This window comes from Homo sapiens, chromosome 5 (assembly GCF_000001405.40).
Source record: "Homo sapiens chromosome 5, GRCh38.p14 Primary Assembly".
Taxonomy (NCBI): domain Eukaryota; kingdom Metazoa; phylum Chordata; class Mammalia; order Primates; family Hominidae; genus Homo; species Homo sapiens.
In genome coordinates this window covers 178,103,506-178,127,211 of record NC_000005.10, presented here as the reverse complement: position 1 = coordinate 178,127,211, position 23,706 = coordinate 178,103,506, and the positions used below count along the sequence as shown (strand labels likewise).

General features: G+C 56.8%; 1 protein-coding gene across 12 annotated transcripts, besides 13 other annotated features; it reads right to left on the bottom strand.

Moving 5' to 3' along the window:
- Positions 13 to 673: an enhancer, noted in NCBI's record as "OCT4-NANOG-H3K27ac-H3K4me1 hESC enhancer chr5:177553540-177554200 (GRCh37/hg19 assembly coordinates)". NCBI's record gives its function as "activates a minimal SCP1, AML or CMV promoter by ChIP-STARR-seq in naive and primed H9 embryonic stem cells {active_cell/tissue: H9 hESC(naive and primed)}" and the evidence as "EXISTENCE:reporter gene assay evidence [ECO:0000049][PMID:30033119]".
- Positions 178 to 13,680, bottom strand: N4BP3 (NEDD4 binding protein 3). Of its 12 annotated transcripts, XR_007058596.1 has the most exons (8): positions 13,441 to 13,680; positions 7,299 to 7,658; positions 6,513 to 7,034; positions 5,860 to 6,114; positions 5,171 to 5,738; positions 3,683 to 3,780; positions 1,516 to 1,657; positions 178 to 526 (listed from the first exon to the last, which is right to left on the bottom strand). XR_007058596.1 is itself a non-coding variant. In XM_011534473.2 (6 exons), the coding sequence occupies exons 2-5, from the start codon at positions 7,626 to 7,628 to the stop codon at positions 5,211 to 5,213; spliced, it is 1,635 nt and encodes a 544-aa protein (XP_011532775.1). In that variant the 5' UTR covers positions 7,629 to 7,658; positions 13,441 to 13,680; the 3' UTR covers positions 178 to 3,780; positions 5,171 to 5,210. The 12 variants fall into 12 exon arrangements, 5 of the variants coding, with proteins under 5 accessions (XP_011532775.1, XP_011532776.1, XP_047272954.1 ...); XR_007058594.1 differs by having other exon boundaries at positions 178 to 1,657; XR_007058597.1 differs by lacking the exon at positions 3,683 to 3,780.
- Positions 2,413 to 3,214: an enhancer, noted in NCBI's record as "NANOG-H3K27ac-H3K4me1 hESC enhancer chr5:177550999-177551800 (GRCh37/hg19 assembly coordinates)". NCBI's record gives its function as "activates a minimal SCP1, AML or CMV promoter by ChIP-STARR-seq in naive H9 embryonic stem cells {active_cell/tissue: H9 hESC(naive)}" and the evidence as "EXISTENCE:reporter gene assay evidence [ECO:0000049][PMID:30033119]".
- Positions 5,622 to 6,424: an enhancer, noted in NCBI's record as "H3K27ac-H3K4me1 hESC enhancer chr5:177547789-177548591 (GRCh37/hg19 assembly coordinates)". NCBI's record gives its function as "activates a minimal SCP1, AML or CMV promoter by ChIP-STARR-seq in naive H9 embryonic stem cells {active_cell/tissue: H9 hESC(naive)}" and the evidence as "EXISTENCE:reporter gene assay evidence [ECO:0000049][PMID:30033119]".
- Positions 5,685 to 5,734: an enhancer, noted in NCBI's record as "active region_23738". NCBI's record gives its function as "activates an Ori minimal core promoter by ATAC-STARR-seq in GM12878 lymphoblastoid cells {active_cell/tissue: GM12878}" and the evidence as "EXISTENCE:reporter gene assay evidence [ECO:0000049][PMID:35858748]".
- Positions 5,755 to 5,884: an enhancer, noted in NCBI's record as "active region_23737". NCBI's record gives its function as "activates an Ori minimal core promoter by ATAC-STARR-seq in GM12878 lymphoblastoid cells {active_cell/tissue: GM12878}" and the evidence as "EXISTENCE:reporter gene assay evidence [ECO:0000049][PMID:35858748]".
- Positions 6,065 to 6,114: an enhancer, noted in NCBI's record as "active region_23736". NCBI's record gives its function as "activates an Ori minimal core promoter by ATAC-STARR-seq in GM12878 lymphoblastoid cells {active_cell/tissue: GM12878}" and the evidence as "EXISTENCE:reporter gene assay evidence [ECO:0000049][PMID:35858748]".
- Positions 6,225 to 6,284: an enhancer, noted in NCBI's record as "active region_23735". NCBI's record gives its function as "activates an Ori minimal core promoter by ATAC-STARR-seq in GM12878 lymphoblastoid cells {active_cell/tissue: GM12878}" and the evidence as "EXISTENCE:reporter gene assay evidence [ECO:0000049][PMID:35858748]".
- Positions 11,871 to 11,980: a silencer, noted in NCBI's record as "silent region_16712". NCBI's record gives its function as "represses an Ori minimal core promoter by ATAC-STARR-seq in GM12878 lymphoblastoid cells {active_cell/tissue: GM12878}" and the evidence as "EXISTENCE:reporter gene assay evidence [ECO:0000049][PMID:35858748]".
- Positions 12,039 to 12,552: an enhancer, noted in NCBI's record as "H3K27ac hESC enhancer chr5:177541661-177542174 (GRCh37/hg19 assembly coordinates)". NCBI's record gives its function as "activates a minimal SCP1, AML or CMV promoter by ChIP-STARR-seq in primed H9 embryonic stem cells {active_cell/tissue: H9 hESC(primed)}" and the evidence as "EXISTENCE:reporter gene assay evidence [ECO:0000049][PMID:30033119]".
- Positions 12,451 to 12,510: an enhancer, noted in NCBI's record as "active region_23734". NCBI's record gives its function as "activates an Ori minimal core promoter by ATAC-STARR-seq in GM12878 lymphoblastoid cells {active_cell/tissue: GM12878}" and the evidence as "EXISTENCE:reporter gene assay evidence [ECO:0000049][PMID:35858748]".
- Positions 12,591 to 12,640: a silencer, noted in NCBI's record as "silent region_16711". NCBI's record gives its function as "represses an Ori minimal core promoter by ATAC-STARR-seq in GM12878 lymphoblastoid cells {active_cell/tissue: GM12878}" and the evidence as "EXISTENCE:reporter gene assay evidence [ECO:0000049][PMID:35858748]".
- Positions 12,991 to 13,310: a silencer, noted in NCBI's record as "silent region_16710". NCBI's record gives its function as "represses an Ori minimal core promoter by ATAC-STARR-seq in GM12878 lymphoblastoid cells {active_cell/tissue: GM12878}" and the evidence as "EXISTENCE:reporter gene assay evidence [ECO:0000049][PMID:35858748]".
- Positions 13,391 to 13,940: a silencer, noted in NCBI's record as "silent region_16709". NCBI's record gives its function as "represses an Ori minimal core promoter by ATAC-STARR-seq in GM12878 lymphoblastoid cells {active_cell/tissue: GM12878}" and the evidence as "EXISTENCE:reporter gene assay evidence [ECO:0000049][PMID:35858748]".

Below are 23,706 nucleotides of genomic sequence, written 5' to 3'. Positions count from 1 at the left end.
GGGATTGTTTTTGATTTTTGTTAGGGATGGGGAGGATTCCTTCAAAGCAATCAATTCTCCCATTAATTCAGTAATAATTGAATTAACTTTTTGCCAGCGTAGAAGTTTTAAACATTCCCTGTATTCTCCGAAGCTTCAATAATTTGAGTCTCTGGAATAAAATTGACAGTAGACAGATTAATAGGAGAAAAGGCATGCAAATTTATTACATACATGCACAGGAGTCCCACAAAATGTGAGACTCTAGTAAGGGCCAGACTGATGAAGTCTAAATAGCATTTGAGCTCCAAAAACTGGGGCCTGAGGTTTCTGGGAGGAGGTGGCAGCAGACGCTAGGAGGTTGAGGGGAGGAAATGCATGGCAAACAAAGGCTGTCTTGTCATGCAGATAAAACCTCTCAAGCAGCCCAGTCCTCAGAAGAGATGGTATCACCTTCAGTATCCTTTCCTGTGAGTTAATTGTCCATGTTTTATGAGATGCTAGGGAAAGGGCTCAAGACAATGGCATTCCTTCTGCAGGAACTTCCCTTAGAAACAAAAGAGAACATCAGAGAAGGCCCCTCCCTGCGCTTCAGGAGGGTTTTGGGAGGGAAAAGGAGTGAGCGATGGTCAGATACTTTAGTTCAAAGCATTCAGCCTCCCACAGCTTCATACTTTGGGGTATCATTTTCTGAGCCCCACCACCAATTTCCTAGGATAGGATTTTTAAAATTTAACTCAATAAATGCAGGGGTGGGCCAAGCGCCGTGGCCCACGCCCATAATCCGAGCACTTTGGGAGGCTGAGGCGGGTGGATCACGAGGTTAGGAGATCGAGACCATCCTGGCTAACATGGTGAAATCCTGTCTGTACTAAAAATACAAAAAATTAGCCAGGCGTCGTGGCAGGCGCCTGTAGTCTCAGCTACTCAGGAGGCTGAGGCAGAAGAACTGCTTGAACTCGGGAGGCGGAGGTTGCAGTGAGCTGAGGTCACGCCACTGCACTCCTGGGCAACACAGTGAGACTCCATCTCAAAAAAATAAATAAAATAAAATAATAAAATAAATGCAGGGGTGGCACATAGTATGACTTTTTTCCCAAATTTTTATCCAGTTATCCCAGCACCGCTTGTTAAAGCATCCTTCCTTACCCTTATTTTGAAGTCCTTTATTGTGTAAGATTTTCTACAGAATAGAATCTATTTCTGGCTCTTCATTCTTTCCATGAGGTGTAGATTATTTTTACACCAATGTCGTATTTTTCTTGCTACTTTGTAATATGTTCTAATATTACATATTAGAGCAAAGGAATTAAATACCGCTCACAAAAAAGGAAAGAGAAAAAACCCCATACGGTTATTGTGAAAGCAGATCAGTGGTTGCCAGGGGCTGGGGTGGGGCGGGGGGTGGACTAGAGGGCCACAGGAGAATGCTGGGGGGGTGACAGAACTGTATCTTCATTGTTGGGTTCGTTACATAACTCTGCATTTGCCAAAACTCTAAGTAAGCCCAAAGCAAAATGAAACCATGAGACCCACCTCCTGGACGGATGAGTGAGCCAGCTGGGAACTCCCATGGCCCTCCAGCCTCTCCTCTCGTGACATAATCACTTTTGTTTTTGTTGCAAGAAGCATCATTCTTTTTCTTTTCTGAATCCAATATGGATGCCTAAGCCCCCACCTGCCAAGGGGGATGGGTTATCAATATCTGAACCGTCACTGCAGGGCCTGCGCCCTCTTTGCAGAAACCTCAACACTTACATTCCGTGAGTCTCAGAGAAATGTACCCAGCCCCACAGATAGGCTTCCTCTGCCTGCTCCATGCTCTGCTGACCCATGCCACCATGGAGGCCCCTCTGTTGTCCCTAGTTCTGTCTGAACACTTCTGGATTCTCTTCTGTTCTCTTTTCCGCCTGCCTGGCCCCAGTCACTATTTGGAGCGGCCTTCACTACCTCTGACATGTGTGGTCTCCCTCCCCCACCCACAGGTAAGCCCTATCAGGGCAGGGGACCGAGGGCCTTGGCCACCTTGGCTTCCTCACCTGAGAAGGCCCCAAATACATCACTGGAACGAATGGCAGCTGCCCCTGGAGTCCCTGTGCTTGGCACAGACCTGGTGCCCACGGATGGTGAACGAACATTCAGAGTAAGTCTTCCCCATCCACCCCACCCCAAGCTCAAACCCATTCTAGTATTGGGGGGTCTCTGGTTGCTCCTGACTCCACATCCCACCAGTGCCTTCTGGAGCTGTGGTGAAGACACCACCCTACCCCGGCAATGCCCACAGCTCAAAGGAGACAGGCAAACCAACAATTACAGCAGCACAGAAAGAGCTGACGGAGATTGGCATGGGGGCTGTGGGCGCAGGGAGGAGGGAGTGCCCAGGCAGGGGAGGCGGTGAGTTCAGGGCAGGTTTCTCAGAGCACTGAGGGGCTCTGCCTGCAGGATGAGGGCTCAGAGGGCTACAAGGGCTTGCCAAGGTAAGGAGGAGGCACCACTATCAGTGACTCGAGGCCACTAGTGTGTCAGAAGCCTGAAGGGATGGACCAAGAGGCCCAGGGAGCTGCTGGAAGGGATGACACTGAGTGAAGGACTGGAGGCCCCAGAGGCAGGGAGCCCAGCACCAGGAGGCTGCCACCTTCCGCAGAGCAGGCTGCCCGGACCAAGCCTGTTGGGGAGGGGCTGCAGGGAAGGCTAAGCCAGGGCAGCTGGGAAGCTGAGGCCCCGCCAGCTGGAGGGAGGGGCTGCCCTGAGGTGGTAGCCACTACGGTGACACCTGTGATCAGTGACACCTGTGGTCGGTTGGCCCCAGAGCCACCCAGCCGGCTGGGGGACCCAGGAACTGGTTTGTCCAGCCTGGATGAGCTGACGGGGATCCAGCTCCGAGACGCCCCAGGCTCAGGTTCAGCTCTCGTGCCCTCCCCCTACATCTGGGCCTGGCTTTGGTTTCTGGCACAGCTGCCAAGTTTTGGTGCCTCCCACCCACTCCCCACTGGCTGTACTGGCCAGCCCAGCTCCCTAATCGCTGGGTGGGGAACTGTTCTGCCGAGCTGGTATACCAAGGTGGACCCTGGCACCAGGTGTGTGGGCCCCTGGCTTGACAGGCCCCTGGCCATGGAGGCTGTGATCAAGGCATCTGGCCAGCACCTGGCTCTGAGGGGCCCTCTGGAGGAGCCATTGTCCCAGAGATTTCCGTTTGGGGTTTGGGGTTTGGAGGAGTTTGTGAAATGGGAATGGGTACCAAGGGGGTGTGTAGACGACTGGCCTGCCTGACCTGGCCACTCCCCCTTTCCCTCCTCAGGCAGACAGGAGCTCAGGTGTGGGCCTGTATGGGTCTCAGATAGGCCTAGGGGATCTGTCTGGGACACAGGCTCCACCCAAGCCTGGCCAGTGCCAAGACAGACTGGGGCTGACAGGAAGGAATGGGGTAGAGGGTGGGGCCAAGAAGGGGCCTGCACTGTCTCCAACCCAGACACTGGCTTTTGGAGGCCAGGCTCCCAAACACACCCCCTCAGACACACCCACCACCCACAAGCACATCTTTACACACACCTGCCACTTACATGGCCATAAACACACCATCCCCACAGCAGACAGTGCACACGCCTCATTCTCTGCCCTGAAAAAGGGGGCCCCCCCAGCTCATGCCTCACACCCGTCCCCTGACATCCATGTGCACTAACTCCACTTCACAACCAGGACCCACCTGTGGGGCCTGAGGGGCTGCCAGGCACGGCCAGGGTAGCCAAAGGGAGTGAGGTGGGGCTCTCTGCAGATAACTTCTCAGAAGTTCCCTGAGCTGCCCTGTCAGGGAAGAGACTGGTGAGCTGACATCAGTGTGCAGGGCCCCCTGCGGCAGGAGCTCATCTAATTCAGCCTGTGCCCCCACACTCACAAGGGCCCAGCACAGCACCTGGCGCCCAGTAAGCACGCAATGCATGGCAGCCCGTCCAACGATGAGCGCGTAAGAAAGCTGAGCTTCCCTCAAAGGAAGGGAGAGACGCCACTCACACAGCCAGACAGAACCTGTGTTCCAGGCCGGGCACCCAGCGGGGGAGCAAAGGCCCAGAGGGCAAGCCAGGCCTCTGAGAGACCAAAGGCAGGTGTGGGTTTTAGGGACCAGCCTTAGCTGAGAGCAGGGATCCGGGAGGACTGACCGTCCTGGAGCCCAGCGCAGGACAGAGGCAAGGTGGGGTGGGGAATGCTTCCTCCTGGGAGAGCTTTCCAGAATGCAAATCAATCATATTTCACCCCTACTTAATAATGCCCTAGAGCCCCGTTGCTGATGGGGAAATGTTCCCATTCCTTGCTGTGGTAAAGGCTCTTTACCAAGAAACCCATAAGCTTGCCCACCTCCTCTCCTGCACCTTCCTACGAACAGGGAATGAGGCAGAGCACTTCTAGGGGCCCCCCACTCCTATGGAGGGAGGGAGGGAGACAGGAGGTGGGTGCGGGGAGGGGCATGGCCTGAGCCTGTGGATACTCCTGGGGCCCAGCCTTCCCACCAAGAAGACATTTCATGTTCTCAAAATGCCTTGGTTGACTTGCCCTTTGTTTTTTTGGCATTCCCTGGTGTTGTTCCTTCTGAAAACTCCACTGGTGCTAAAGAAAGGAATTTCAGCCCACACGGCAGCTAAGGAACCGTGTGGGGCTGAGGCAAGGAGTAGGACTCCTCTGCTCCCAACACACATGCCCAGTGGCCATGCAGACAGGCGCAGGGCACACCCTCCCACTGACCACTGGCCATGGGAGGAGCTACTGCCCAGGTCAACAGCCTCAATCCCGACCATCCATCATCCTCTGGTCACAGGCTCAGCGTATTCTGAGCCTCTGGTAGAAAACATGGTTTTATTCTGGGGGAGGCCAGTGTTCCCACCCCAGCCTCCTTCCCTGGAGGAAGGCCCCAGCCCAGGTCTCCAGCCTCTCTCCCTCTGACCTGCCCTTCGGGACCTTGGGGCTGGTGATCCCCCAGCCTCCTTCTCTGGGCCACATCCACTCCAGGAAGCAGGGCTGGGCCCTGCCTAGGTGCTCCTCTGCCAGGAGGGCCTTGTCCTGGCTCCTGCCAAGGCACCCTACCCAGCCCACGGCCCCACTGGATCCCTCCTCTCCTTGCGCCTCCCCAGCCCCGGGCTGGCCTCTGCAGGTTCCACCCCAACCAGTGCAAGGGAAGGCTGAGCCGGCCGTCTCAGGGCACCTTCTGACAGTGTTGCTGCTGTCAGCTCGCTCTGCTGGCCTCAGATCTTGGAGGACTCGAGCCGGGGACTCCAGGGTGTGGGGGGCTCCCGCAGTGCCCGCAGTTCCTGCTCCAGTGCCTGGTTGCGGCGGTACATGTCCATGTACCCTCCCTGGATCTCCCGCTGGTAGCGCAGCACGCGCTCCTTCTCCTCCTGCCAAGTCCGCCGCTCCTGCTCAAAGCGCAGCGCCTGCTCCTGGCCCCGAAGTCGCTCCTGCAGCAGCTCAGCCCGCAGCTGCTCAGCACTGTCTCTGGCCTCGCTGCCTCCTGCCTCCCCTAGCAGGCCCCTGCTCTTGCAGTCATCAGTCTCACAGCTGCCTGGGGCTTCCTCCCGAGGGGCCTGCTCCTGCAGGCTGCGCACAGCCTCGCGCAGCCGGACCAGCTCTGCGTCCTGAGCCTGGGCTTGTGCCCGGCTGCCCCGAAGTTGTGTCTTCAGACTGAAGATCTCCGCCAGCTTCTGGGCCAGTTCCGCCTGGGCTTCACGCAGCTGCTGCTTCAAGAGGCTAATCTCTGCTGTCTTCTGGCACACCTGGGGGATGGGGAGGACGCAAGCAAAGTAGGGTGTGGGGAGCCGGTTTGGGAGGGGGCAGGCAGAAGAAGGGACCGGCAATGGAGATGGGAGAGTCTCGGAGCCCTGTGTCATCTCTCACCTCCCATCGGGCTTCCTCCTCTGGTCGTGCACTGGGGTCAGCCTCTGGGAGGGTGCCGGGGGCCCGAGGCTCCGGAGCCAGGCCCTGCTGAGCCCGCAGCTCCTTGCGCAGGCGCCGCTGCTCCTGCTGAGCCATAAACAGCTGCAGCTGGAGGTTGCGCTCGCTGCGCTCAGCCTTCTGGGTCACCTCGTGCAGCCGCTCCACATACAGGCGCTTCAGCTCAGCCAGCCACAGCCGCTGGCGCTCCTCCAGCACCTGTCAAGGGGAAGAGATGCATCCACCGTGGCCCTGCCCCCTAGAGGCGACTCAGAGCTCCACCTGATACTCCAGCCACTGATCATATCCTGTGCCCCTACACCACAGGACCCAGCCACACATGCGCTTTAACCCGGGATGCCCTCCAGGGTGAGGTGTCCCCATCACATGGCCCTCCCAGGGAGCCTCTCTCCTTCCCACACAACTCCCAGGCAAGGACCCCCAGTGACATGACATCCCCACCACCTGGGATGCAGAGGAAGGAAGCCAAGCCAGCTCCCCCTTTCTTGCTCTCTTGTGTCCACGGCCACGTGGGTGAACTGGCTGGGGCCCCTCTCTCTGGCCTGTACCCCAGTGCTGAGGCACAGAACAGGACTCCAGGGCAGGGGCTCCCTCACCTGCGTGAAGGGGTTGGAGCCGTCCTCATCGCCAAGGCCCCTCTTGAGCTCCTCACAGGTCTCGGGCAGCACGGCTCCCATTTCCTCGGCAGAGGAGCAGGAGAACTCGTAGGGGGGTGGTGGCTCGGGCAGGCAGCTCAGCACAGCTGGTGGCCCAGCCTCCTTGGGTCCTTGAGAGGCCCGGTCCAGGGAGCCCCCGAGGTGGTTAAGGTGGCCAAGGGAGGAGCTGAAGGGGCTAGGGCCAGTACCAGGACTGCGACCAAAACTACCCCCACTGGAGGAGTCGGACAGGCTGGGCTCGGGCTCAGGGCCGCCCTCATCTAGGCTGAGGGCGTGCAGCAGCTGTGCCCGGGCCTGGCTGGCCCGGGGCCCGGGGCTCAGGGGCGGGTGGCAGGCCAGCGTGTGCAGGCTGCCATTGCTGCGCCACAGCTTCTGGCCTTTGTGGGACGCCAGACTTTGCATGGATAGGAAGCCTTTCCCGTTGCCCGCCGTAGGCTTGAACACTGAGGGGCGAATGCGGCACTGCCAGGAAGAGAGGGCAGAGAGGGCAGGTGTGAGACCTGGGCAGCTGCCTGCTCTACCTCCTGATGCTCTCACAGCCCCTGAGGGATCCTCTTTGAGACCGCGGGGCACGTGCCACCAGGAGGCAGTGAACAAACCTCAGGCCAGCCCATAGCACGATTTTCGTATCTCAGCATGCCCCGTCCCCACCCCATCCCAACATCAGGGTCTCCAAGGAGACCCCACCCTCCCCACACCTTGTAAGGGGCATGGGCAAAGGTGCACCTTGTCAAAGCGACCCCGTTCTGGCAGCGAGGTCTTGCTGAAGTCACCCGCGCGAGAATGTTCCCGGTAGTAGAGGGTGGCATAGTCGGCAGGCTCGTTCCGAGGGGCCCGCTTGGTGTTCTTGGTGCTCTTGCTGTCCTTCTTGGGGAGGTGCAGGTAGCTGAGGAACTCACGCTGGCCCAAGCCCTTCCGGAGGAGCCCATCAGGCTGGCGGGAGCCCCGAGACCCGGCAAGTGCCGCCCGCAGCTCTTCAGGGGAGAAGTCCTGCCGTTCCAACAGGCTGCCCACGCTGCCCATGGCAATGCCAGCAGGGCCTGGGGCTGTGGCCATGAAGTTTCAACAGGGTACAGGCAGCTGCTTCTGGGAATTGGGAGGCTCCATTAGGGGCAGGTGAGCACTGGCTGCCCAACTTCCCTGGGGCCTGAAAACAAGGTACTTGCTCCCTGTAGCTCCCCACAACCTTGCCCAGGCCCAGGTAAGGCAGATGTGGGTCCAAGAGAGAACCCCGGGACAGGATCCCTAGACTGGCAAGAGAAAGAAGTACAAGCCCCAAAGCCACCTGCCCATCTGTCACTTGCTGGACTGAGTCTAAGGAAGAGCAATGGTGCCCCAGCCGAGCACCGAAGGGCCAGCTCCACCTCGGGGCCTGTGTGGGATTCAGAAGTACCGGGAGGGGATAGGCCTGGAAGCAGCAGGACAGGAGCCGTCCTCCCAGCACTGGGCCCGCACAGGGCTAAGGAAGACAAACTTGGCCGGGCGCGGTGGCTCACGCCTGTAATCCCAGCACTTTGGGAGGCTAAGGCAGGCAGATCACAAGGTCAGGAAACGCAGACCATCCTGGCTAACACTGTGAAACCCCATCTCTACTAAAAATACAAAAACTAGCCGGGCATGGTGGTGGGCGCCTGTAGTCCCAGCTACTCGGGAGGCTGAGGCTGGAGAATGGCATGAACCTGGGAGGCAGAGCTTGCAGTGAGCCGAGATCGCACCACTGCACTCCAGCATGGGCGACAGAGGGAGACTCCATCTCAAAAAAAAAAAAAAAAGAAAACTCAGCCTGGCTGAACCTGACCTTGCTTACCCTCCTGCCATGTTCCCCACCAAATCTGTGGGGTGGGGAGAAGGCACAGAGACCCAAGGCCAGTGAGACCCTCCTTCCCATGGGAGAGGGGTAACCCCTGCAGGCCCTCTTCCTGCAAAGGGCAAAGCTCCCCAAGGGAAACATCTGGCATGGGGGGGAGGGTTGGGGGCTACAGTGGGAGGGATACAAACAGGAAGGGCCCAAAAGGAGGAAGGATGACGTGAACAATGGCCACAGTTTCCGGGACAGGTGTTCCCGTCTGGGCAGTGGTGGGTGGAGGAGGGAAGGGGCAGCTGGACTCACTCCAGCCCCTGTATATGCTCTTATTCCAAAGCCCACCACCCGGCAGGGTGGGTCCCAAATCCTAACCCTGGCGGAACCAATCGGTGTGTGACCCCGGCCAAGCCACTAACCTCAGTGAGCCTGGACTTCCGCACACACACCCTGGCGACAATAACACTTATCACTGGGATGCTGGGAGGATGGGGTGGGATAACATGACAGAGCACCCAGTTCAGGGCCTGGGCCACAGCCAGGGTCAACAGGCTGGCTGGAGCCGAGCTCAGCCAGGCACACAAACATCACCAAGGGACTAGGCTGACGGACCACCTTCCACCTGTGCTGGGCCACACACTCTGGAGGCAGGGCTGGTACCTAGTCCCCTGGGGATCCTCTGCACAGCCCAGTGCCCAGCATGGAGCGGGCGTGCAGAAAGGTCTGGCCGAGTGAACAAATGCCACCTTCTCTGCCTCCCACCCCTGAGCAGCTGCTCCCATTCTCGAACAGAAGCCCAGCAGGCCAGCTGCAGCTGTGGGTCCCCTACTACCACCCATGCTTCCGGGCACCCACTCCTGCCCCCGAACAATGGTCGTTAGGAGGTTCCATCTTCCTCAACCATTTCCAGGTTTTGTGTTTGTGGAAGACAAAGCTCTCCGGGAGGGGGACCTGCCCCAACCCCACAGCCTCACCTCACCCTGTGCAAAAATGACCTCAGCTCTCCCCCAACCAACCCCCAAACCCAGGATGGGGCGAATCCGGGTTTGCACACCCCACCCAGCCCAGCCCCTGAGAACGCACGTTGCAGGCTACATAGGAGATGCATCCAGGTAAGGAATCACAGGGGATGGGTTCCTACAGCGACTTGGCCCTGCATACGGGTCCTGCTGAGTCCTGTGACAGAGTTATTGTCCCTTCTTTTTTTTTTTTTTTTTTTTTGAGACAGGGTCTTGCTCTTCACTCTGTCACCCAGGCTGGACTACAGTAGTGCAACCATGGCCCACTGCAGCCTCGAACTCCTAGGATCAAGCCATCTTCCCACTTCAGCCTCCTGAGTAGCTAAAAACACAGGTGCGTGACACTGTGCCCAGCTATTGACCCTTCTTAAAGGTCAGTGGGGCTCAGAAAGGTGAAGTGACTTGCCCAAGGTCGTAGCTGGTCATGGCTGCCCAATGTCTAGTGGGACCTAGGATTGGTCCCTACAGCCAAAAGTATTAGAATGGAAGCATCCTGCCTCCTCATCTGATACCTCCTTGCCACGACAAGCCCATCCAGCCAGAGATGTGGTTTGTCCACAAGCACGCTCAACTCCTGTTGCTGCTTCTTGGGGAGGGGACAGCAGAGACCTGCTCTCCAGCCTGCCCTCACTCTCTCCAGGGGACCCCAGACACAAATGCTCCGCCTTTTGCCATGCCTCAGTTTCTGCATCTCTGAAGCGGGAAAGGGCCAGGCATGGTGGCTCACACCTGTAATCCCAGCACTTTGGGAGGCTGAGGCAGGAGGATCACTTGACCCCAGGAGTTTGAAACCACCCTTAGCAACATAGCGAGACCCCATCTCTATTTATTTTTAAAAAGGAAAAAAAAATGAAGTGGGAAAGACCCCGCCTGCCCGGCTTTCCTCAAAGGATTACTGACAGTCAGAGATGGAGGGGAAAGGGCTTATGAAATGTAAGCCCTGTGTGGCCCTGGGGGCGGGGACGTTGGCAGCAGTGCCAAATACGCCCACCTCACCCCAAATGCACACCGCCTCAGCTTCCGGTGGGCAGATGCTCACTTCCTGTCTCGAGGAGATAACCGACCCCCAGGTTCCCCACGAGGCATCGCAGGTCCAGGGAAAGTCCCTGAGCTAGAGGTAGCCACCGGCCGCAACAGCGCATACAACCACACACGCCACGGTGTGCCACATGTCAGCCCCACCCAGCAGCACAGAGAGCCCATGTTAGAGGACACGGTGCAGACGGTCACGTCCAGCAGCAAACACAATCATACAGCTGTGCACAAGGTCACCCACAGGACACACTGACAAAGCAGGAGCAGCCCAGTGGCATGATGACCTAGTGTCCTTCCCAGCCCCCAGGCTAGTGAAGGAGCAGCAGACAGCCCCTTCCCTTTGTCTCTCCTTAGGCCCCCCACCGTCCCCACTGTGCCCCTCCTGGCTGACTGACTGGATTATCAGCTCCCCCAGCAGGGCGGGGGCCCCCAGCTTTCAGGACACTCCTCCCTGCGTATGTCACAGAGTGGGGACAGTCTCTTTTCCTAAAGGGGTCCATCCTACCTCCACCCCCTCCCCCAACACATACATTCCTTCCTTCCTGTTGCTTGGAAGCCCAGGGATTGCCTGCTCCGGGCAGGGCAGCTGGGCAGGGCAGCTGTGCAGGCGGAGGGGATTTGGTGGGGGAGGAGGGAGGGAGGACAGCAAGTGCCTTGCAGCCTCACTGGAACATCAGAGCAAAAAGCCGGGGACCCTGCACGGGTCGTGGAGAGAAGGGTAGGGGACAAGCCAAGTGCCTGGGCTTCCCTGAGCTGGGAGCGGCAAACCCCCAGCCACACAGCTGGCTAGATTTGGGCTGGGACATTCAAGCCACATTCTCCACAGGTCCTGGCTAGCCCCAGTAAGGCCTCTTCACTCCTGCTCCCCGCCACCAGTCCCCTCACCCCTCTCCAGTCCCCAAGATTAGCAGGCAGCACTGGAATCTCTGAACACGGAGAGGAATTGCTTTCGGACCAATCCTTGGTGGAGATGGAAGACACAGCTGCCCTGGCCAGGAAGCAAAGAAGGAGAGGACGCGCTTTCTTTGAGGGGGGCGTCCCAGAGCCTGTTGGTGCCCTTTTGGGTCACGCCAAAGGGCACTATCACATCCTCACAAGACACACAGGAGATGAGTTCTGTCATCCCCCACTTCACAAGAGGAAACTGAGGTTCAGAAAGTGAAGTAACACGCCTAAGGTCACGTTCAGCCGCAGGGGAGAAAGCACACAGGCTCCAGGATTAGAAGTCCTCTCGGATCCCACCTTGCATCTCCTCTGGGGTGGGACATTCCAGTCCCCACATGGGCAGGAGTGCTGCCTGCCCTGGCTACAGTCAGCCCCTCCTGAGCCCTGGCCCCAGGGAAAGGTCCCACCACCTGCTGGGGGATCAGCTCTGCTAAGGGGCGTGTCTGCAGCTGCCCCTAAGGAATGGGACTGGAATGTCCCAGCTCCAAAAGGGGGGGGTAGTAGGCAAGGGGGGCCCAGAGAGGGGCTGGGAGAGGCTGGCCCACCCCATCCCCTCTGTGACAGACACTTGAGGCAGAGACAGGGGCTAAAGCCTGCGGAAGTGGTGCTTAGTATCACCATATAGTGCTTCACGGCTGCACCGCAGTCTACAGTTTTTTCTCAGCCCTTCTATTTCATTATCTCATTTCATCTCCACAATAGCCTCGTGGGGGCAAACAGGACAGTAATTACCCTCACGCCATTTTACAGATCGGGAAACTGAGGCCTCGGAAGGCGAGGTGAGTTATCCAAGATCCCACAGTGAGAAGCAATCTCAACTCCCTGGGCAAGGTCCTTTCTACCTCAGCAGGTTGTCCTAAGCCAGGGGTCACGGGTTCCCCTCCATGGGCACACACTGCTGTGTATGTATTGCATATATGTCTGCCCAGCCCTCCATGCCTGTTTCTCCCAAGGACACTTGCAACCAGGCTGCCCTAGACTGCGGTCCACCAGGCCTGGAATCCCTCCTGCTGCCCCCCAGGTCAGGAAGAAATAGAGGAAACCTGCCTCATGGGGACTCCGAGTCGCTATGCTAGCTCTAGAGGCGGTGGCAGAGGCAGGCTGGCCGCATTCATTCACAGTCTGGCACATGCACACCACACGCTGCCAGCCGGTAGAGAAGCCCTGCCTGGGAGGGCCCTGGGAGGAGGCTGATAACCGCGCCCAGGATGGCCTCCTGCGTCCGCTCCCTCCCGAGGACAGCCAGGCCCAATCTGTTCCTATGTGGTTGGGGTCGGGGGGTGGCCCAGTGGGAGGCAACGGGTCTCAGTTCTCTTTCTGGATACAGCCAGGGCCCTGATTTCGGCTTGTCCCCAGGCCAGCCCTCACTTGGGCCAAAGGCTGTGGCCGGGACTGGACCGGGTGCTCTGGCGGTCAAGACCTAGGAATGTCCCCTACCCGCAGACCCGCAGCTGCAGCCTGGTGGACCGGCAGGGGGTTGGGGGATAAAGGAGGTGTGGGAGGAAGCGAGAGATCTCATGGGGAAGTCAGAGGGGCAAACGAGGTTGCATCCCCACGGAATTTGTGTCAGGAAAGCAGGGGTGAAGGCGAGGGTTCCCCAAAGCTGCGGGAGGTCCCGGAGCTACCTGGGGGGCGGGGTGGGAGGCGCGTCTCCTCCTGGCCCCTCCCTGAGGCCTGCCGGGAGCGGCTGGGCCGGGGGGCGGAGGCCGAGGTCAGACGCCGGCGCCAAGGACGCCTGCCCCACCCAGCCGTGGCGCAGGGGTCCCGCGCGCTGCTCCCTGGAAAGCGCGTTTGCAGGGGTTGGGGAGAGCAAGGTAGCCTGCCGCCTGCCCCTCCAGCGGAGCATCGGGGTCGGTCCCCGATCCGGTGCCTCGGTGACCGGGAGCAGGGGACACCTGGGCGCACGCCGCACCTTGCCACCCCCGCCCATCTCTCAGACGGGAGCCTCGGCCAGCGGGACAGCAGCTTTGCCAAGGACGCCCGAAAACAAGACCTTGGCGACCCGCCCCACCCCTCCCCACCCCCCGAGTCCAGCCCGGGTCCCCAGCCCCTCGCGCGCCCCACTTACCATGGTGGCGACGCGCTCGCCGGCCCGCGGCTCCGCAGCCCTTGCGCGTCGCAGCTCCCCCGCGCGGATTTGAACCCTCCTGCAAGGCGTCGGCTCGGGCCGGGACTGCGTGCCGGGTCGGAGCGGCGGAGCGGCAGGCGCCGGGAAAACGCGGGCGGGCGCCGGCGCCGGAGCCGGATTGGCGAGGGAGGGACGCGCTCCGCGGCGCTCGATCGCCTGCCCCAAAGGCGGAGGGAAAACCCGGCCTGACTCACCGGCGCGCGGCAAGCCCACAGCCCGGCCCCGGCCCCCGGATGTGGGGGGCGGGGCCGCCTACCCGCGAGCCAACCTGGGCCCCGCCCGGCCCCGACCGCGCCCCCGGCCCTGACCCGCAGAGGCGCCGCACGGCGGTGGCGGGCGAAACCTGGACCGGCTGCGCCTCGCGTCGCTGCCTCCTTGAGCGCCCCGGCTCGTTCCCGAGGGGTGGGCAGCCCCGAGCGCGGCCCACGCCCCAGAGAGCGCACAGCGCCCCCGCTTCTCCTCCTCCGCCGTTCGCCTCGCCCGCCTCCTCTAAGGAAGAGGCGCGTGAGGTCCCTCACCTCCCTAATTGTAGCCGCCTCCTCTCCGGAAAACCTGATTTCCCCCCTTTGGGGATGAACCACAGTAGTACTTTGAGAAGTGAAAAGATTTTACCCCACGACTCTGGCTGAATTGGGCACAGAGTTATTTTCTTTTTGCCTCCAAAGTATTCTAGGGGCAGCAAAATCAGGTGCCTTCAGGGGCCAGAAAAATTACGCAAATGAGTCGTGAGCTTCCTACTAAGACAGTAGGAAGACATGGAAACAGACACAGACACGTAAAGGAGTCATATTCGAAAAATTAAAACACCGTTTCTAATTCAAAAGTTAAGCATAGAGTTACCATATGATCCGGCAATTATAGTCCTCAAACAAGTAATGTTCTTGGCAGTACTAGTCACAATAGTCAAAGAGCCAAAAGGTGGAAACAGCCCAAACTAACAATTGATGAGGGTGTAAGCAAACAATGGTAGATCCATTCAGTGGAATATTATTCAGCCATAAAAAAGAAATGAACGCCATGTGATGACTCATGTCTGAACTCTCCCAGCACTTTTGGAGGCCAGGAGTTCAGGAACAGCCTGGGCAACTCACAAAACTCCATCTCTATCTTAAAAAAAAAAAGACCTGATGTGGTGGCTCACCCCTGTAATCCTAGCATTTTGGGAGGCCGAGGCAGGCGGCTCACTTGAGGTCAGGAGTTTGAGACCAGCCTGGCCAACATGGCGAAATTCTATCTCTACCAAAAACACCAAACATTAGCCAGGCATGGTGGAGCGAGCCTGTAATCCCAGCTACTCGGGAGGCTAAGGTAGGAGAATTGCTTGAACCCAGGAGGCAGAGTTGCAATGAACGGAGATTGTGCCACTACACTCCAGCCTGGATGATGGCGTAAGCCTGTCTCAAAAAAAAAAAGAAAGAAAAGAAAAGAAAAAGAGGAATGAAACACTGATGATACCTGCTACAACATGGATAAACCTCCAAAACATGGCAAGTGAAAGAAACCAGACACAAAGCCCACATGTGTTAATGATGCCATTTATAATAAGTAAATCCAGACAAACAGAAAGCAGATTAGAGCCAGAGGCTGTGGGGAGAGAGAAAGGCAGAGTGATTGCCTAACAAGCATAGGGTTTCCTTCTGGGATGAGGAAAATGTTTTGGAGCCTGACAGAGGTGGTGGTTGCACAACGTTATGAATATACAAATGTCATTGAATTGTTTGCTTTAAAACGGCTAATTTTATGGTATGCACATTTTACCTCAATTAAAAAACATCTTGTCACTTGTGGAACAGATTTGGTCTACGGCCCACAAATTTGCAACCCCTTGTGTTCTATGCTGTTCTTACCAATTCTTGCTAGGACAGCATAGAACCTCTAGGAAGAACTTCTGGCCAGGCATGGCGGCTCACGCCTGTAATCCCAGCACTTTGGGAAGACGAGGTGGGCAAATCAATTAAGGCAAATGATTTGCCTGCCTCAGCCTCTCAGTGTGCTGGGAGTACAGGCGTGAGCCACCATGCCTGGCTGAAAGAACTTTTTTTTTGAGATGGAGTCTTGCTCTGTCGCCCAGGCTGGAGTGCAGTGGTGCGATCTCAGCTCGCTGCAAGCTCCGCTTCCCGGGTTCACGCCATTCTCCTGCCTCAGCATCCCAAATAGCTGGGACTACGGGTGCCCACCACCACACTCGGCTAATTTTTTGTATTTTTAGTGGAGATGGGGTTTCACCATGTTAGCCAGGATGATCTCGATCCCCTGACCTCGTGATCCACCCCCCCTTGGCCTCCCAAAGTGCTAGGATTACAGGCATAAGCCACTGCGCCCGGCAACTTTTTTTTTTTTTTGAGATGGAGTTTCACCCTTGTTGCCTAGGCTGAAGTGCAATGGCGTGATCTCAGCTCACTGCAACCTCCCCCTCCCAGGTTCAAGCGAGTCTTCTGTCTCAGCCTCCCGAGTAGCTGGTTGGCACAGGTGTGTGCCACCATGCCCGGCTAATTTTGTATTTTTAGTAGAGACGGGGTTGGTCAGGCTGGTCTTGAACTCCCGACCTCAGGTGATCCACCTGCCTCGGCCTCCCAAAGTGCTGGGATTACAGGCGTGAGCCACCACGCCCGGCCAGAATTTCTAATAGAACTGCCAGACTTCAGAATACTTGTCTAAGAAAACTCATTAATAGCTGCTGTGGGTCTCAGCCCTTGAGGAGCCAGTCTGGTAGGGTTACTCACTGGGACAGATAAAGTTTCAGAGCAAGAACCTGTTTGGCTGTTTGGGGGACCCAAGGAAAGGCCTCACTGGAGCAATGGTTTTTGAGATGGTCCTGGAAGCATTTCCACTGAGGAGTGTTCCCAGCAGAGCAGATAGCAGGGCTAGAGAAGGCAGGGCACGTTCAGCTTGCTAGCAAGGTCCAAGCCCTGGGTGGGAAAGGTTAGTGGTGGGAAGGGACGAAGGTGGCAACCGAGAGCAGACCCAGAGAAGCCTCTTGAAGTGGGCGCTGGGAGCCTCCGAAGCATTGAGAGAGAGGAGCTTGTGCACGCAGCTGGACGTGGGGCCTGTGAGGTGGCACAGGCAGGCAGGGAGGTCGGGTCCCCTGGGTCTCTAGGGAAAGAAATGGGGCCAAGGAGGACCTGGAAGCTGGAAGCTGCCGAGAAGGTGTTCATTCTGTCAACTGAGTGGGAGAGACAGTGATAGAGATGTTTATGAGAGGGTTTGAATGAAGGTTCTTATAAGAATCCACTTGCAAGAAATGGCATGAGGAAGAGAGAGAGAGGTCACAGCTAAGTTCTGATGAAAACTCAGATTCTGGGTTGGGTGCAGTGGCTCACGCCTGTAATGCCAACGCATTAGGAGGCCGAGGTGAGAGCATTGCTTAAGCCCAGGAGTTCCCTGGGCGACATAGCAAGACCCCATCTCTATAAAAAAATAAAAAATTAGCCAAGCCAGTGGTGCCTATAGTCCCAGCTACTCGAGAGGCTGAGGCAAAAGGATCCCTTGAGCCTAGGAATCAGAGGCTGCAGTGAGCTATGATCGAACACTGCACTCCAGCCTAGGTGACAGAGCAAGACCCTGTCTTTAAAAAAAAAAAGGCCGGGCACGGTGGCTCACACCTGTGATCCCAGCACTTTGGGAGGCCGAGGCAGGAGGATCACGAGGTCAGGAGATCGAGACCATCCTGGCTAACACGGTGAAACCCTATCTTTATTAAAAATACAAAAAATTAGCAGAGTGTGGTCGTGGGCGCCTGTAGTCCCAGCTACGCGGGAGGCTGAGGCAGGAGAATGGCATGAACCCAGGAGGTGGAGCTTGCAGTGAGCCGAGATGGTGCCACTGCACTCCAGACTGGGCGACAGAGCGAGACTCCGTCTCAAAAATAAATAAATAAATAAATAAATAAAGGCAGGACACAGTGGCTCATGCCTGTAATCCCAGCACTTTGGGAGGCCAAGGCAGGTGGATCACCTGAGATCAAGAGTTCGAGAACCAGCCTGGCCAACATGGTGAAAATCTGTCTGTACTAAAAATACAAAAATTAGGCAGATGTGATGGCGCACTCCCATAGTTCCAACTACTCAGGAGGCTGAGGCAGGAGAATCACTTGAACCTGGGAGGTGGAGGTTGCAGTGTCCCAAGATTGCACCACGGCACTCCAGCAGCCTGGCTGACAGAGCGAGACTCCATCTCAAAAAAAAAAAAAAAGAAAAAGAAGGTGCTCAACTGCACTGCGCTCCTGTCCTGTCCATGCGGGCTGCCTCTTGTTCTCACCCCGTCTCCTTGACCTTGGCCTCCCATTGGCCTTGCTGAGGCCTTTGAGAGAAGAAAGTGGGCTGGGCAGAGGTGAGGAGGCAGAAACCAACAGGAGGCCAGGCCTCTTTTCTTCCCTCCAACATCTGCCTGGACAGTATGGGAGAGGCCAAGCTGGACTCCTGCTGGGATGGGGGGATCTTGTATTCAGTGAACTTTATTTACCTTCCTGGACCTGCACAGCAGATGCCCCTGCAAGGGGCCACTTGCCCCCAGACATGACATTCCTGTAGAGTTGGCATGGGAGCCACACTGCTCAGATGCCAAGGGGTGGGGCACTCAGGGCACCAGGCCAGGGGAAGTGAAACCAGCCTCCCTGGATGCACCCACTTCCTGAATTGGCTGACCTGGGACACTTTAATTTCTCTCTCTGAGCCTTAGTTTCCTCAGCTCTGAAAGGGGAGGATTAAGTGAACTAGCACCTCTAAAGCACCCTGCACAGTGCCTGGTAAGTGGCAGCATCTGTGAAGGTCAGTTGGTCCTTCTGCCTTTTCCTTATGGGGAAGGTTTGTCAGAAGGACAGAATGCTTGTCATGGGCCCGTCTTGAAGTGCTGGAAGGCTGAGTCCTGCCCACACCGGCACGCACCTTCGTTGTTGTGGGTCTGTGGTCTGTCTTCCTGCATCCATGCTGTCTGTGAGTGGCCAGGACTGTATCACCCTGCAGCCATCCTGGTGAGGAGGAATTTCCTCATCTCTCTGGCCACCACCTCTGGCCTCATCACCTTTCTTCTTGACTGTTGCAACAACCTGCCTTGGCTTCCTACTGCCCAGCCACCCCCGACTCTGCCCCAGAGGGAGCCTTGTAGCCTACGCATTCTGTCCCCACACTCCTCTGCCCGAGAGGTGTAGTCCCAGCTTCAAGACTGGCCCTGCAACTCCTTTAGTCTTCGGGCCAAGCCACTGCTACTGCTTCTGTGCATCTCTGCTCTGGGAGCTGCCTCTGTGTCCTCATCCATAAGTGGCTGGTTGTTGGAATAGTCCATTAAGAGCACCCACTGTCCTCAAGGCCCCTCCTTCTACCCTCAAGGCAAAATTAATCACCCCATCCTCTTGCCGCTCCGGACTTTTTCTGTTTCTTTGCTGTGATGGTGCTTGTCACAGTGCGTTATCCTCTGTCACCCTCAAGAGACAGTGAGCCCTGAGTGTGGGGGACTGGTGGCCAGCACATGTCCAGACTCCCCCAGTTCTTCTTACAGTGCCTGACAGTTAGCCATGCTCAGCTCTAAGACACCATCTGCAAAAAGGCAATTCAGGACTGTTTTCTAACCAGGAGGAGGAGCTGAAGCAAGGCAGCCCTGGCTCTGAATCCCAGTCCTGTCCGTGACTTCCTGGTGACCTTCCTGAGCCTCGGATTCTTCATTGGTAAAGCAGGCAGCATCCCCTGGGCATGTCCAGGGACCTGACAGCTTTGTGTCCCCTGGCCGCCTTTCACTCCTTGCCCTCCCTTGTCCTCTCTCCCCTGGAGCTGGGCCAGGCCCCAGCCTGAGGGAGGAGAGCTGGGCATTCTTGGAGAGGCAGCATCTGAGGGTTTCAGACCTTGCAAAGCGCAGGCTAACAGATAACTCCTGGTGCCGGCCCTAGCTCTGCCAGTCCTCCAAGATTGGTCTTTTACAAATTTTTATTTATTTTTAACATTGTTTTTTAGGCTGGGTAGAGTGGCTCATGCCTATAATCCCAGCACTTGGGGAGGTTGAGGTGGGTACATCACTTAAGGTCAGAGGTTCAAGACCAGCCTGGCCAACATGGAGAAACCCCATCTCAACTAAAAATACAAAATTAGCCAGGGGTGGTGGTGCACACCTATAATCCCAGCTACTTGGGAGGCTGAGGCAGGAGAATGGCTTGAGCCCGGGAGGTGGAGGTTGCAGTGAGCCAAGATCACACCACTGCACTCCAGCCTGGGTGACAAGAGCAAAACTCCGTCTCAAAAAAAAAAAAAATTTTTTTTTTGTAAAATAGAGGCAAGGTCTATGTTGCCCAAGCTGGTCTCAAACTCCTGGGCTCAAGCAATCCTCCTGCCTCAGCCTTCCAAAGTGTTGAGATTACAGCTGTGAGTCGCCACATCCAGCCCAAGATTGTTCTAAAACTGTGTCACAGAGGGGTATTGTGGCTGTGGGGCAGAGCCAGTGGGGCTGTGCACCCACCCAGCCTCCCCAGCCCTCCCCACTCTCGCACCTGGGGTCAAAGTGGACTCCTGGACCTGGGCTGCCTCCCCGAGTCAGCAGAGCTGGAGAGGAGCCTTCGTTCACTCCTCCTGCTTCCTCTTCCCTGGGTCCCCCCACCCCCAGGGGTGACTGGGGCAGCCCCAGGCAGGAGGTTGGGGTGGAAGTTGAGAGCTGCCATGACTTGCTCAGGTGTCTGCCCCGGGGCAGACCTCAGACCTTCAGGAGCCCATGAGGACTCACACCCCGGAAGTCCAGGCAGTCCAACTGGCCCACTCATGCACCACTGGGACTACAGGTGTGAGATTACCTGCCCCGACCTCCCTAAGTGCTGGGGTTACAGGCCACCGGAAACCTGGACCAGCCCCACAGCTAAGTCCAGGTGGAGCTGCCACCCCAGATGGTAACACGGTACTTTGCCCAGAAACTCCTGGGCTGCAGTCCCTCAGTTGCAGTGATTTATGGCAAGGGGTTGGGGGTGGACGAAGTCTGGAGGAGTCATTGTGAAACTACAGCAGCACCATGAAGAGAGCTCCGGGGATGGGTGGCACGACGGTGCACATGTGCTTCACACCACTGAACTGGACACTTCAAGATGGTTAAGAGGCCGGGTGTGGTGGCTCATGCCTGAAATCTCCCAGCACTTTTGGAGGCTGAGGTGCGTGGATCACAGGAGGCCAGGAGTTCAAGACCAGCCTGGCCAACATGACAAAACCCCGTCTCTACTAAACATACAACAATTATCCAGGCATGGTGGTACACACCTGTATCCCAGCTACTCGGGAGGCTAAGGCACGAGAATCCCTTGAATCCGGGAGGCAGAGTTTGCAGGGAGCTGAGAGAGGACTGATGTACTTCAGCCTGGGCGACAGTGCAAGACTCTGTTTCAAAAAATAGTTAGGTTTTGTGTGCATTTTACCATGATTTGAAATGTTTTAGGCCAGGTGTAGTGGTGCACACCTGCAGTCCCAGCTACCCAGGAAGCTGAGCCAGGAGGATTGCTTGAGGCCAGGAGTTAGAAGCTTGTGACTGGGCCACTGCACTCCAGCCTGGGCAGCAGAGCAAGACTCCACCTCTTAAAAAAAAAAAGAGACAGAAAAAAAAAAAATCTGTGTAATACAGTGACTTGGATTGTCACAGTCCAGAGTTGTCCAAAAGGTGCTGGCCATGGGCCACTATTTTTTTTTTTTTAACCAAGACTTTACCTAGATTATTTTTAAAGCTTAATTACAACAATTTTCGAATATACACAAAGGTAAAGGGAGGGAATTTTTAAAAACTCCCACGTACCCACTGCCTGCCTTTAAAAGTTACCCAGCAGAGGCTGATTTTATTTACTTCCACACAAACCCTCCCACACTCCAGGGTTCTTTTTTTTTTTTTGAGACGGAGTCTTGCTCTGTTGCCCAGGCTGAAGTCCAGTGGTGCAATCTCAGCTCACTGCAACCTCCACCTCCTGGGCTCAAGCAACTCTCCTGTCTCAGCCTCCTGAGTAGCTGGGACTACAGGCACATGCCACCATGCCTGGCTAATTTTTGTATTTTTAGTAGAGATGGGGTTTCACCATATTGGTCAGGCTGGTCTCGAACTCCTGACCTCAGGTGACCCACATGTCTCAGCCTCCCAAAGTGCTGGGATTACAGGCATGAGACACCACGACTAGCCTATTTATTTATTTTAGAGACAGGGTCTTCCTCTGTTGCCCAGGTTGAAGTGCAGTGGTGTAGTCATAGCTCACTGCAGGCTCAAACTCCTGGGCTGAAGAGATCCTCCTGCCATGGCCTCCCAAAGTGCTGGGATTACAGGCATGGGCCATTGTGCCTGGCCTAAATTGTAATAATTTTACAGTTTGCCTCAAACGAGGACTGACGTCTAGGCAAGGTCTGCTGGGGGCCTCCCACATGCAGGCAGTCTCTCTGCTGTGCCCTCCACCAGCTCCGAGGGCCCCCTGCCCACAAGCACCGCTCTCTCCTTTCCCCTCTGGGGAAGGCCAGGAGAAGTGACTTTTGAGGTTACCTGAAGGACTTCTGTCTGTTTGGAAAAGGGTGTGAAGCTGAAGCCGATGGCCTCAGTGCCCAAAGGGGAACGCTTCCCACTGGCCTATGGAAGCCACAGGCCTGACAGTGGGGTCCTGGTCTTGGGGGTCTCAGCCACGTGGCCACCCATTCCTTCCTCACTTAGGCATCCACCTAGCGGTCTGCTCACACCCCCTTCCATCTATCTGTGTTCAGCCAATCAGGCAAGCCAGGGTTATAGCCCTCCCTGCCCTGGGCCCTGGCTCCATGAAGCACCATGGGCCTTGGAAGACCTCCCCAAATCATCCTGTCCCCCCAATATCTTCTGCCAAGGCAGAAGTTTCCCCGGGCCCCTGCTCTGGTCCGCTTCCTTGGCACAGTTTGTAGCTGTGCCTGATACAGCCCACCTACCTGGCTTCTGTCCCAAACCCGCAGCCAGGCCATGTGACAGCTGCTGCCTGTGCCCAAACATTCATCCAGCCCCACCCAGGAGAGCCAGGCAGGCACTCACACACTCTCACCCACACACCCTCACCCGCACACCCCCACCCACACCCTCCCCCACACACCCCCACCCACACACCCTCACCTGCCTGGCCCTGCCACACCCCCACCCCACCCTCCCTCTAAACCTACTGGGGCAGCAGCTTCCCCTACCTTCCGCCTGCTCCACCTCCTCCTAGAGCTGTCTTACACACAGTTTCCCATGCCCTTGGCAGGTTGGTCATGGCCCTGGCAGGTCTGAGGACAGGGTGGGCACAGGACTGTGTGCAGCATAGAAAAGTCAGGGAGTGCAGCCTCCTACTCTGTGCCAGCTGCCAGCCCCTGGAGCTTACCAGGTTGACGGGGACAAAGAATGCACCAGAGGGAACAGTGACCAGCCTGGGCAACAGAGCAAGACCCTGTCTCAAAAAGGAAAAAAAAAAATGGGGAGGAAGGCGATTGGGCAGAGGGCACCAGCAGAAGAGCTCTGGATCGAAGTGCCTGACAGAGGAGTCCCCCGTTAGAAAAGGTCCTGATACTAAGGGAGGAGACCACCCCTCATATTGTCTTATGCCCAATTTCTGCCTCCAAAGAAAGAAAAAGTAAAAACTAAAAGGCAGAAATGAAATCCACAAGCAGACAGCCCAGCACCACACCCTGGGCCTGGTAGTTAAAGATCGACCCCGACCTAATGGTTGATGTTATCTGTAGATTACAGACATCGTATAGAAAAGCACTGTGAAAATCCCTATCCTGCTTTGTTCCCGACTAATTACTGGCGCATGCAGCCCCCAGTCACGTACCTCCTAACCCTCTCACGCGCACCCCCTTAGAGTTGTGAGCTCTTAAAAGGGACAGGAATTGCCCACTCGGGGAGCTCGGCCCTTGAGACAGGAGTCTTGCCGATGCCCCTGGCCGAGTAAACCCCTTCCTTCTTTAACTCAGTGTCTGAGGAGTTTTGTCTGCGGCTCATCTTGCAACAATACCACTGCCTTGCTCAGTCACTGGCCACCAGGGAACAGGGTGGCCTCGATCTGAGAGCTGAGGGGACCCGGAAGGTGCTGACAGCTGGGCAGTGAGTGAGTCCTTTTGAAGGGGCATATCTCCTTCCCCACTCACTCCTGCTGGGCCAGGCTGGGTAGCGGGCGCCCTGGGTTGCAGACATTAAGCCTTTAGAATGGAAGCTGGTTGACGGCAGGACTGTGGCCACCTAGACTCTTTCACCCCCGGTCTGTCACAGGCCAGGACC

Excerpts from the sequence above, each read along its gene's own strand:
- N4BP3 (XM_011534473.2), bottom strand. The coding sequence starts at position 7,628 with ATGGCCACAGCCCCAGGCCCTGCTGGCATTGCCATGGGCAGCGTGGGC. Across the intron at positions 7,035-7,298 it reads AACGGGGTCGCTTTGACAAG|TGCCGCATTCGCCCCTCAGT; the intron begins GTGCACCTTTGC and ends TCTTCCTGGCAG. Across the intron at positions 5,739-5,859 it reads AGGAGGAAGCCCGATGGGAG|GTGTGCCAGAAGACAGCAGA; the intron begins GTGAGAGATGAC and ends CCCATCCCCCAG.